General features: G+C 47.4%; 1 protein-coding gene across 3 annotated transcripts in view; it reads left to right on the top strand.

The window, feature by feature from the left end:
- ATP6V0A4 (ATPase H+ transporting V0 subunit a4) overlaps positions 1-12,909 on the top strand; it is a 91,903-nt gene that overhangs the window by 66,786 nt on the left and 12,208 nt on the right. For all 3 annotated transcript variants that reach the window (NM_130840.3, NM_020632.3, NM_130841.3), the window contains 2 exons: positions 2,549-2,650; positions 9,386-9,514. In NM_130840.3, the coding sequence (NP_570855.2) occupies positions 2,549-2,650; positions 9,386-9,514 (231 nt within the window). The remainder of the gene's footprint in view (positions 1-2,548; positions 2,651-9,385; positions 9,515-12,909) is intronic.

Raw genomic sequence — 12,909 nt, 5'->3', positions numbered from 1 at the left:
CCCTGTGACTAGTTCCACAAGGCCAGCTGCCCTTCAGTGCAGAGGTTGTCTGTTGGGGATTGCACCCATCAGATGTCGTAGTTAATGTCATGCTTCTACGGCCATGCCCCTTCTCATGAGTTCAGTTCCTAGTTGTGTTCTCTTTCCCTACCCAAGCATCAATAAGAAAAAGAAAAGGCTGGGCGTAGTGGCTCACGCCTGTAATCCCATCACTTTGGGAGGCCAAGGCAGGCAGATCACCTGAAGTCAGGAGTTCGAGACCAGCCTGCCCAACATGGTGAAACACCATCTCTACTAAAAATACAAAAAATTAGCTGGGCATGGTGGCAGGTGCCTATAATCCCAGCTACTCAGGAGACTGAGGCAGGAGAATTGCTTGAACCTGAGAGGCAGAGGTTGCAGTGAGCCAAGATTGCGCCACTGCACTCCAGCCTGGACAACAAGAGCAAAACTCTGTCTCAAAAAAAAAAATAAAAAAAGAAGAAGAAGAAGAAAAAATGCCTTGTAATCAGGTTTTCATAAGGAGTGAGTGTAGATAAGAATCAGAAACAGGTGCATTACTGTTGGGCACCATTTTGTTATCACAGATGGTAACCATGAGCCATCCCCAGAATGTTGACATGAACTGAACGTATTTTGAAGGTTCATTTACTCAGTGCTGGATCTAAACAAACATTTATTTGGATTTCCCAAATAACTCTTCTGTTTTAAGGCAGAGAACTCAGATTCACCAAAATAGTTCGTGTGCTAACTGCTTTCATTAAGACTGAAGTCCTCACTTAGTCTGGAATAAGCACTGAGCATTGCACAGTGAATGCGTGGCTTATCCAACTTTTTTTCCATTCAAAAGCATTATTTGGAGTTGGTTGGTTTTCACACACCCTAGTGTGAAGATTAATTGTCTTGATACAGTTTGAAGTTTTCATAACCTCATTTCGGGGTTATGCAGCTGGAAGAGGCAATACAAGTTAATAAAGTCCCTTCCCAACATTGTCCTGGCTGTCTTTGAATATCAAAGGATAGCCACACACACACACACACACACACACACACACACACACACACACACTCATCCCGTTGCTTTGTACGTCATCGGGGGAAAATCCTGTTGCATAAAAATGGACAAAGGGCCATGAGACAGCATTGTGTGCGGGTACTAGGATGGATAAGTTCAGCTTGGGTTCACATGGTCTCCCTTCCTCTTTTGGACATTTAAAAGTAGAGTGAGGCCAGGCGCGGCGGCTCATGCCTGTAACCCCAGCACTTTGGGAGGCCGAGGCGGGCGGATCACGAGGTCAGGAGATCGAGACCATCCTGGCTAACACGGTGAAACCCCGTCCCGACTAAAAATACAAAAAAATTAGCCGGGTGTGGTGGCACATGCCGGTTGTCCCAGCTACTTGGGAGGCTGAGGCAAGCAACTCGCTTGAACCCAGGAGGCAGAGGTTGCAGTGAGCCAAGATGGCGCCACTGCACTCCAGCCTAGGCAACAGAGCGAGACTCCATCTCAAAAAAAAAAGTTGAGTGAGGATGGAAGATGGAACCGATAAAGTGTTCACTCTATTATCAGGGGGAATCTTGTTACAATTGGGATAATAAATTGTCTCCTGGCATTTACTGCGACCTTGGTCAGAATGCTTGGAGAAACGTGAAGGCTCAAGAAATGTTTTTCTATTTCCTTCCAGCACCGTGCTCTCAATCCTTCTCAGCAGCCCTGACCGAGCCTTCCGAGGCTGGCTGGTTCTTTTGACCATAGCAGCTATGAGTCACTCCTCTAAACTGGTCACTGGGGTGTGTATAAGAAAGGAGGCAGGGGCGTGAGGATGTGAAAGGTGATCTGGAGCAGGAATATAACAGGGACTCCTCCAGGGTTTCAGCAGAGGCCTGAAGACCGCAGCTGCCTCACTCCAAAGGGAAGGCGAGAGAGACCGAGAGTGAGTTCAAAGTGGGTAACCCAGAGCCTGTTGAGTAAATTGCCCACATGGAAGGGATGAAAGTCAGGTAGCGATGGTGAGGAACTTCTTTTTTCTTTTTTAAGAGATAGGAGCAAGAGAGCTCAGATAATTTTCTAGGACTCAAAATATAAAATTACCGGTTGAATACTGTTTGTGACTTAAAGTGACCCAAGGACTTTTGAGTACCACCGAGTGACTGGTAAAGTCATGAGGCCTGCCATAGTTTTCATGCAGGCCCAGGTGAAAACGACCCCCATGGGACAGAGTTCAAGACAAGGGGTGCCTTTATAATGTTTCATGCGTACTTCTTGTTTAAAAGATTGGTTACGTATGGTACAAGGGACTACTCAGAATAAGGAATACAGAGAGTTTCCAGTGTCTACCCCGTGTCGAACATTTGGAAACACTGGACAGATATTTCTCTATCTGCAAGGGGAATATTCCAGGCGTGAAGGTGAATGGATTCATTGAAATGCTTTAGATCTCTCAAAATAAAGTGCTAGTGAAGTGGCCCATAGTGGTCATTTTCATCACGTAAAGTGTGCTGTTCTGCCATGTGAAAATGATGAGATCTCGCCATTTTGGTCTTGCAGCAAGAAGTCCAAAGTTTCTTTGTGGTTATGGCTTTGATTTCTGTGCCGTGGATGCTTCTGATTAAGCCGTTTATTCTTAGAGCCAGTCATCGGAAATCCCAGGTAAGGGCTGTTTGTTTCAGTTCACCCTACTTTGCATAAGAATGTGGGTTTCTGGAAAGATGAATCTTGGGTTTAGAGAGAATCGTCCTGGGCTGCCAGGGCCAGAAGAATGGTGTTGAGGAACTGACCCGCCCTGAGTATGTTTCGTTCTGTGGAGCTAGACTTTTCCACTGGGCCGTCTTATTTCCAACGAGATGCTCTATTAAGGGCAAACACGTTTAAGCCTTATGTCTCGGCTGGTCGCAGTAGCCCACGCCTGTAATCCTAGCACTTTGGGAGGCCGAGGCGGGTGGATCACCTGAGGTCGGGAGTTTGAGACCAGCCTGGCTAACGTGGCGAAACCCCATCTCTACTAAAAACACCAAAATTAGCCAGGCATGGTGATGGGTACCTGTAATCCCAACTACTTGGGAGGCTGAGGCAGGAGAATCACTTGAGCCCAGGGTGGTGGGGGAGATTGCGGTGAGCCGAGATCACACTTCACTCTAGCCTGGGCGAAAGGGCGAAAAACCGTCTCAAAAAATAAAATAAAATAAAATAAACCTTATGTCTGACAGACTTTGTTCAGGGTGTATGTGTGCTGAGTCTCGTGGTAGTTAATGATTTATAAGGGTCTGAATGTGGTTGTTTTATTAGTTATAAATAATATTTTATTATGATTTTACTTTTAAAACAAATATTAAAAGCTTTTTTCATTAATATTCTAAAGTTGTGAGACTTTACTGTATTATGTTACAGATTGTGTCAGGGAATTAGAAGAGTAAACAAATTCAATTAGGTCAGTTTTTGTTTGTTTGTGATTTTTCCCCTGTTGCCAAATACCAGGTTCAGCCCACTTTCTCTTTTTGTCTAAACTGCCCCTGAGCCTTAGATGTACTAGGGGGGTGAAGCAGAGTTTAATATCAGCCTGAACCAAATAGGATTTAGTAAGATTAACCTTCCAGAGGACATCAGCGTCTAGCTCTGACACACAGACGGTTTGAGATGGTCGTTCTCTGCTTTCCTCTATTAGTGCAAAAGATTAAGCGGAATGTGCTGAGACCGTGTATGTTTTAAATGGTTGTAGATATGTTCAGATTAAATTCTATTTTTCTGAGATCTTTGTTGGATATTGACCTGGACAGGCAGCAGAGTCAGGGACCTAGACATGACGAGACTTGAGTTCAGGAAGTTTGTCCCTATGTGACGCTCTGTTTCTCTGTCACCTGCCTCTCCTCCCACTGTCTCCTTATGCCAGTCCGAACTCGTTCCAAAGCTTAGCTGAAACGTAATCTATATGAGGTATTCATAAAGAGGAAGACAAAGCAAGGAAGACTTGGTTATTGTTTGGTTAACTGGTGGGAGAGCAAGGTGGTTGAGGGTTGTTGAGGTGGGTGCTTGTCCAGACAGGTGACCAAGTATTTCAAAGAGGGTGGCAAATACCTGTTTGGAGAAGTAGATGCAAGTTTTTTTTGTTTTGTTTTGTTTTCTAGAGACAAGGTCTCTCTCTGTCTCTGAGGCCAGAGTGCAGTGGCTATTCACCAGCACAATCATAGCTCACTGCAGCCTCCGACTCCCGGGCTCAAGCCATCCTCTTGCCTCAGCCTCCCAAGTAACAGGCATGCCCCCCTGCCTGGCTCAGCATTTTTTTTTTTTTTTTTTTTTTTTTGAGATGAGCTCTCACTATGCTGCCCAGGCTGCTCTCAAACTCATGGCCTCAAGTGATTGTAATTTTTTTTTTCTAGGAACTAAATCTGTCCATAAGCCAAGAGCCAGGTTACTGCAGGCTCTCCTGAGTTCCAGGACTGTAAAATAATAGCTTGTCTTGCTCTTTGTACCACACAAGCTCTTTAAATAGTTGCTGATCTCAAAGTGGTAGATTTCTCCTTTGCGCCACCAGATGACTTAAATAGAGGGAAGGAGGGAGAGAGGGTTTTCCTAGTCTGCCTTCATGGATGATAGCTCTGAAACTGACTGGTAACAGGAGCTCCTGAAGACGGCGTGGAGGCCTGTTCCCTTGGCCCTTGGGATGCACGGCTGTTGGTTGTTTCCTCAGGCGGCTGCTTAGGGTCCTTTTCGTGTCGGAAACATTACCACCTCCGTTCAAGAGATGGTCCTATAATGGCATTATTTGCCCCTTCTCCACCTCTCCTTCATGAAATCCTACAGACCTAATACATAAACAATTTGTTCTGACGGACTTCAGGTGATATGAACAGGGGTCCTGTCTATTAGCCTCTCCTACAACCTGGGTCCCTGCAGAATGTGGCCTGGGAACCTCTCCACTAGAGGGCCGCCTGTGGCGTGGCCCTGGTGACATGCCCCGTGGGCAGCGAGTGAGTACACATCTCCTTCCGAGAGCCCTTGTGGCCAGCCACCAGGCCCCCCACGTTCTGTTTCCCCTTCTGACTTGCTGCTATGAACCCAGGTCCCCCCATACTCCCACATCTCAGGTCACAGTGAAATAACTGTGTGTTTCTATTTAAAATCTTCGGCCGGGCACGGTGGCTCACGCCTGTAATCCCAGCACTTTGGGAGGCCGAGGCGGGCGGATCACAAGGTCAGGAGATCGAGACCATCCTGGCTAACACGGTGAAACCCCGTCTCTACTAAAAATACAAAAAATTAGCCGGGCGTGGTGGCGGGCGCCTGTAGTCCCAGCTACTCGGGAGGCTGAGGCAGGAGAATGGCCTGAGCCCGGGAGGCGGAGCTTGCAGTGAGCCGAAATTGCACCACTGCACTCCAGCCCAGGCGACAGAACGAGACTCTGTCTCAAAAAATAAATAAATAAATAAATAAACTTCATTTCAACATGTGCGTTTTTTATGGTTAATGTTATTGAAACATATAACATACAGACAAGTGCATGAATAACGAGGCACCAATCCATGAAGTATCGCAGCATGAACACGTTCGTGTCACCAGCACTTAAATCGAGAAATGGGTCATCCTTAGAACTTGAGAGTCCTGACCGGGCACAGTGGCTCATGCCTGTAATCCCAGCACTCTGGGAGGCTGAGGCAGGTGGATTGCCTGAGGTCAGGAGTTCGAGACCAGCCTGGCCAACATGGTGAAACCCTGTCTCTACTAAAAATACAAAAATTAGCCGGCGTGGTGGTGAGTGCCTTATAATCCCAGCTACTCGGAAGGCTGAAGCAGGAGAATTGCTTGAACCTGAGAGGTGGAGATGGCAGTGAGCTGAGATCGCCGCCATTGCACTCCAGCCTGGGCGACATAAGCGAGACTCCGTCTCAAAAAAAAAAAAAGTTTTTTTTGCCTTCTTCCTGTCACTCTTACCCCAAGAGCAAACATTGTGCTGACCTCCAGGACTGTCAGTTCGTTTTGCCTGTTCTTGAACTGTATTTAAATGAAATCATCCAGAATGTCTTCTTTGGGATCTATCTTCTCTCATCCAACATTGCAGTGTTAGTAATTACAAATGGTGATACTATAAACATCCTTGTATATATCTTTTGGCACATGGGTTTGAATTTTTATTTATTTTATGTATGTATTTTTAGATAGGGTCTTGCTCTGTTGCCCAGATTGGAGTGCAGTGGTGGGATCATAGCTGACTCACCTCCTGGGCTCAGGCAATCCTCCCACCTCAGCCTCCTGAGTAGCTGGGACTGCAGGCCTGCACCACAATGCCCAGCTATTTTTTAATTTTTTTGGTAGAGATGAGGTCTTGCTATGTTGCCCAAGCTGGTCTTGAACTCCTGAGATCAAGTGATCCTCCTGCCTTTGCCTCCCAAAGCACTGGGATTGTAAGTGTGAGCCACTGTGCCCAGCCACATGTGTTTTTAGAAAGTTGCCAGTAGCTAATTTACAATGATTGCTATATGTTTTATTTCATACGCCACCCAGCTTAAGCATTGTGCGATTTTAGTAAGAGGACTGCAAGTAAGTATCTGGAAGGAAGATAGTCACTAGGATTCACAAGTCCAGTATCACACTTCTACAAAATTATTCATGTTCATTTTAACTAATTCAAGAATAATGAGCAGAAAAGGGTAGAGTTTAGGGTTGGAAATGGAGAAACCGTAATATATCTCTCCTTTGATATTTTCTTCTATAAGTTGAAGGAGAGAGAAAATAGGATTTCGAGATGACAAATATAAAGTTAACTTGAGCCACGTCCCTCCCCATGGGATAAAGAACCACAAGGTGTTGGGGACAGCCTAACCTAGAAGCTGGCTCTTGGCACCTGGCACCCTGGACTCTTGTCTAGATGGACCTGAGCCCACTTCTGGGTCCTACAGAGGCCTTGTTCCTCAGTCTCCTGAGGGCAGACCAGGCCACTGGCATGGACACCACGAGTCCCTGGGTGGCCAAGGGGCAGCTGTCTGTAGGGAATGCGAGCAGAACTTAGACATTTTGGGTCAGGGTGTCTGTGTGCACATACAAGGCCCTCATGATATAGGATGAAGCCAGAGGTGAAAAAAAGAGGGCTCCCTGGTCCAGGGCCAGCTCCCATGCTGCCATGGCATGGCGTGAATTCTGAATTTCAACATAGCCTTCCCAGTTTTTACAAAGATTTATTTTTTAAGCTAGAACCCCTATACACACACTTTTTTTTTTTTTTTTTTTTTGAGGCAGAGTCTTGCTTGGTCACCCAGGCTGGAGTGCAGTGGCGCAAACACTGCTCACTTCAGCCTCAACATCCCAGGCTCAAGAGATCCTCCTGTCCTAGCCTCCTATGTAGTTGGGACAGGTGCTCCCTCAGCCAGGCTAAATTTTTTTTTTTTTTTTTTTTGAGAGATGGGATCTCACTTTGTTGCCCAGGCTGACCTTGAACTCCTAGGCTCAAACATGAAACATATTTTATTTAGGAATTTGTTGGCTTGATGTATAACTTTTAAATATTTCAACCTATGGCATGTGAACTACTGTCTTTGCTCTTGCCCAGAGCCCTGCAAATGTTAAGTGCAGACCTGCTAAAGAAAGGAGGGCCCTGGCTGGGTGTGGTGGCTCACGCCTGTAATCGTAGCACTTTGGGAGGCCGAGGCAGGTGGATCACCTGAGGTCAGGAGTTCGAGATCACCCTGGCCAGCATGGAGAAACCCCGTCTCTATTAAAAATACAAAAATTAGCTGGGCGTGGTGGTGGGTGCTTATAATCCTGGGTACTCAGGAGAGCTGAGGCTGGAGAATCTCTTGAACTGGGGGACAGAGGTTGCAGTGAACCGAGATTGTACCACTTCACTCCAGCCTGGGCGAAGGAGCAAAATTCCTTCTCAAAAAAAAAAAAAAAAAAAAGAAAAGAAAGAAGGGTCCAGATACGTTGATGCCTAATTTGCAATACCCCTCCCATGAAATCATTCTAGAAAAACTTTGGACATGGGACATTAAGCTTCATGGTGACTTGAAAGAAATATACCATTCACACTTAGGGGTAAAACCAGACCAAGTTGAATGGTGACTATGCCTAGATTTTTTTTTCCTTGAATTTTTCCTAAGCTATTTTTATAGTTAATTTCACAAGGCTACATGGAAGGTACGACTGATGATTTATGACCATGTGTATTTCTTTTAACAATGGAAAGGCACTTTTGTACTTGCATTGCTTTAGTGTCAAGACTATAATTTGGCACATTCTGGAGCATTGTGGAGAAAAAGCACATGCACTGGAGTCAGGCAACTGAGTTTGAATTATGGCTCTGCCACTTACCAGCCTTGCCAGCTGTATGATCTTGGGCACATATTTTTCTTTTTTTTTTTTTTTTTGAGACAGTCTCACTCTGTCCCCCAGGCTGGAGTGCAGTGGCACAATCTTGGCTCACTGCAACCTCTGCCTCCCAGATTCAAGCAATTCTCCTTCCTCAGCCTCCCGAGTAGCTGGGATTACAGGCATGTGCTACCATGCCCAACTAATTTTTGTATTTTTATGGAGATGGAATCTCGCTATGTTGACCAGGCTGGTCTTGAACTCTTGGCCTCAGGCAATCCTCTCAACTTGGCCTCCCACAGCACTGGGATTATAGGCATGAGCCACTGTGCCTGGCCTTTAACTTTTTTTTTTTTTTTTTTTTTTTTTTGAGATGGAGTCTCACTCTGTCGCCCAGGCTGGAGTGCAGTGGCGTGATCTTGGCTCACCGCAGCCTCCACCTCCTGAGTTCCAATGACTCTCCTGCCTCAGCCTCCCGGGTAGCTGGGATTACAGGCATGCACCACCACGCCCAGCTATTTTTTGTATTTTTAATAGAGACGGGGTGCCAGGCTGGTCTCGAACTCCTGACCCCAGGTGAGCCACGGTGCCTGGCCTAATTTTTGTATTTTTAGTAGAGATGGGTTTTCACCATGTTGGCCACGCTAGTCTTGGACTCCTGACCTCAAGTGATCTGCCAGCCTCCGCCTCCCGAAATGCTGGGATTACAGGCGTGAGTCACCACACGCAGCTGGGCACATTTCTTTTCTTTTTTTATTTTTATTTTATTTTATTTATTTATTTTTTTGAGACGGAGTCTCTCTCTGTCGCCCAGGCTAGAGTGTAGTGGCACAATGTCCGCTCACTACAAGCTGTGCCTCCCGGGCACATTTCTTAACCTTTCTGTGCTGCAGCTTACTTCTCTAGAAAATAGGGTGATAATTGTGCTTATATAAAATGGTTGTTGTGAGGGCTTAATGAGATAGTGTAGTGTTTAGAACAGTGTCTGGTACATAGGTAGTATTTGAGGAGAGCCTTTATTTATATTTATATGTGTTAGAATTCTCAGGGTGAGTTGAGCGCATTCCTCATTTCCCTGCTTGTTGTCAGCTGCAGGCATCCAGGATCCAAGAAGATGCCACTGAGAACATTGAAGGTGATAGCTCCAGCCCTTCTAGCCGTTCTGGCCAGAGGACTTCTGCAGATACCCACGGGGCTCTGGACGACCATGGAGAAGAGGTATCTGGGACGAGAGCCCCTGAGGAAGACTCCCCAGTTTGTACAAATTCTAGAATGGACATAGGCAGTAGAGCTGGGTGGGTCTGGAGGGCCCCACGGGGCAGTAGCCCTGTCACTGCTGAGTCCTGGGAAGCTGTGAAGGTCTCAGGGAAGGGGACCTACTAGCTAGTCTAAGAGGATCAGAACAGCTATTTAGCAACCAATCTGGGCACATTTTAATATTTCTAGTCCAAGTACCGCTGCATCTGTATGTGTCAGGTGAATATCAGCCTCGGATCTAGTGACATAGAAGGTCCTGCGTGTCACTGAGGACTCCTTGGCTCAGCACCACGCCCCTATAAGCTCTCTTTTTTGTTTGTTTTTGAGATAGAGTCTCACTCTGTTGCCCAGGCTGGAGTGAGCCAATTTCGGCTCACTGCAACCTCCGCCTCCCAGGCTCAAGTGATTCTCCTGCCTCAGCCTCTCTAATACCTGGGATTATAGGCATCCGCCACTGCACCCGGTTAATTTTTGTGTTTTTAGTAGAGATGGGGCTTCACCATGTTGGCCAGGCTGATCTTGAACTCCTGACCTCAGGTGATCTGCCTGCCTCGGCCTCCCAAAGTGCTGGGATTACAGGCATGAGCCACCGTGCCTGGCCCCCTATGATCTCTTTATAATGTTATCTGCCTCTCATGTGAATTCATAAATTGTTTTGTTCCCTCATCCCTCCCTGCCCCTGCCTGTGCAAGGACAGCCACTGCCCCTCAGGAGCCCGTGCCACATCCTCCCAGATGAAAGCAGCTGTCTGTTCCATGTGTTGACTGAAGTCAGCCACATTTGTGAATCCCAAGCTGGAGGCTTTAACCGGAGCTCTGTTCTAATTTGGGAGTGGGAACTGGGTTTCCATGAGGGCCACAGATGCTATAAATGGCTCCATTTGTGGTGTTAATTGCTTATTTTAAAAAGTTTTCTCTTGATAGCCATGTGTGGTGGCTCATACCTGTAATCCCAGCACTTTGGGAGGCCAAGGCGGGCGGATCACTTGAGGTTAGGAGTCCAACACCAGCCTGGTCAACATGGTGAAACCCTGTCTCTACTAAATATACAAAAATTAGCCAGGCATGGTGGTGAGCACCTATAATCCCAGCTACTGGGGAGGCTGAGGCAGGAGAATCACTTGAACCTGGGAGGCAGAGGTTGCAATGAGCTGAGATCATGCCACTGTACTCCCAGCCTGGGCGACAGAGCAAGACTGTCTGGAAAAAAAAAAAATTATCTTGATTAATTAGAATTAATGAAAAATCTCAATCGTGAAAATTCTTCCCAAGAAAATTCTAGGTACAGAGTGATCCACAGTAGTGGCTGTTGACATTACCAAGTCTGTCAGACTTGCTGGAATGTTTTAGAATCCAACCCACGCATGTTCTGACTCCTCAAGTCCTGGCCTGTCCAGGGCAACCTCCCTCATCTCTTCTCCTCCTGCCCTCAATCTATATCCAGACAATTTCCACCTGCCACCTCCAACATGAGCAGGCTGCCCTTGCTTGGGCAACTTTAGTCACCATTCATGGACCTCTTTCCCCCAGGTCTAATCATACATGGGTCTCCCGTCTCCAGGCAAATGTGTGCCTCCCCCTGTTTCTCTTTCAAGTTCCTTGCTTGCTTCTCTCCACGGTAGGGTTAGCCAAACTCAAGGTTAAGGGTGCAGTCCTTGACTGTCACATCTGCCCAAGACTGATCCCAGCCGCAAGTTTGGGGGTTCCCAGGGCCACCCTCACTTCAGGCAAGCTGACTATACATTCGCAGGACCCTTAGGGTCCTTTGGGGCCAAAATGACTCACAGAACTCCGGAAAGTGCTATGCTGACAGTTGTTTTTGTTTTTTTTTTTTGAGACAGAGTCTTGCCCTATTGCCCAGGCTGGAGTGCAATGGTGCGATCTCAGCTCACTGCAACCTTTGCCTCCCAGGTTCAAGCAATTCTCCCGCCTCAGCCTCCCGAGTAGCTGGGATTACAGGCACCCACCACCATGCCTGGCTAATTTTTTTGTGTGTATTTTTGTAGAGATGGGATTTCACCCTGTTGGCCAGGCTGGCCTTTAACTCCTGACCTCAGGTGATCCGCCTACCTCGGCCTCCCAAAGTGCTGAGATTACAGGCGTGAGCCACCGTGCCTGTCCACTTACAGCTTTTGTAGCAAAAGAATTTAAATCAGACAGGCAGAGAGGATAGGGCAGTATCTGGGACAGTGAGTTCCAAATGAGGAGCTGTGTCCTTGGAGGCACATTACTGTCCCCACATTGATGTGTGGCAAGATGTGCAGAGAATCGCCAGCCTAGGCCGGTCACCCAAGCTTCAGTGTCCAAAGTTTTACTGGAGTTTCCTCATGCAGGCAGGATTGACTGATTGATTGACTGATGATTGATTGGTGGATGCAGCCCCAGCAGTTGCTGCAGAGTCCCCAGCTCTCTCCCACCTTGCAGATCATTCCCAACTCTCTAAGCATGTGGTTGGTCTTTCTGGTGTGGCCAGACCCCACTTCAACTATAAGGTGCCCAACTTAAGCCACTGCATTCGCATAAACGATCAGGTGTGGTCCCAGGGGCCCAGCATGAATAACAAAGACCCTTTCACGTGGGAAATGCCAGTGGTTTAGAGGTTACCTCCCAGGAGCCAAGACAAAGCCAGTCCTGTTCGGTAAGGTTAATTATGATTATTATAATTACTATTTTGAGACAGGGTCTTGTTCTATTGCTGAGGCTGGCATGCAGTGGCACAATCATGGCTCACAGCAGCCTTGACCTCCTGAGCCCAAGCGATCTTCCTGCCTCAGCCTCCCGAGTAGCTGGGACCGCAGGTGCATGCCACCACACCTGCCTAATTTTTTGAATTTTTGGTAAAGATGGGGTCTCACTTTGTTGCTCGGGTTGGTTCTGAACTCCTTGGCTCAAGTGATCCTCATGCCTCGGCCTTCCAAAGTGCTGGGATTACAGGCATGAGCCACCACACCTGGCCAAGATGAATTCTTTCTTATGCAGTTCTTCTTTACCTTGACTCTTTCTACCTGCTCACTCCATCTCTGCCCATCCCTGTCCCTTCAATTCCTCACAGCTGCTTTCATTGCTAAATTGAGGTTCTCATTTTTATCTTGTCCCCATAACCTCTGACATCAGTGACTGCACCGCCATTCCTTCCTGGACGTCTCCCTCCGCAGACATCCGTGACTGCACCCCCCCCCCCCGCCCCGAATTCCTTCCTGGACGTCTCCCTCCGCAGACATCCGTGGCGGCACCTCCCCATTCCTCCCCATTCCTCCCCATTCCTCCCCATTCCGCCCCATGCCTCTCCGGATGTCTCCCTCCGCAGACATCGGTGACTGCACCACCCGCCCCATTCCTTCCTGGACGTCTCCCTCC

The sequence above is a fragment of the Homo sapiens genome, chromosome 7 (assembly GCF_000001405.40).
Source record: "Homo sapiens chromosome 7, GRCh38.p14 Primary Assembly".
Taxonomy (NCBI): domain Eukaryota; kingdom Metazoa; phylum Chordata; class Mammalia; order Primates; family Hominidae; genus Homo; species Homo sapiens.
This window is presented reverse-complemented; position numbering and strand designations above follow the sequence as displayed.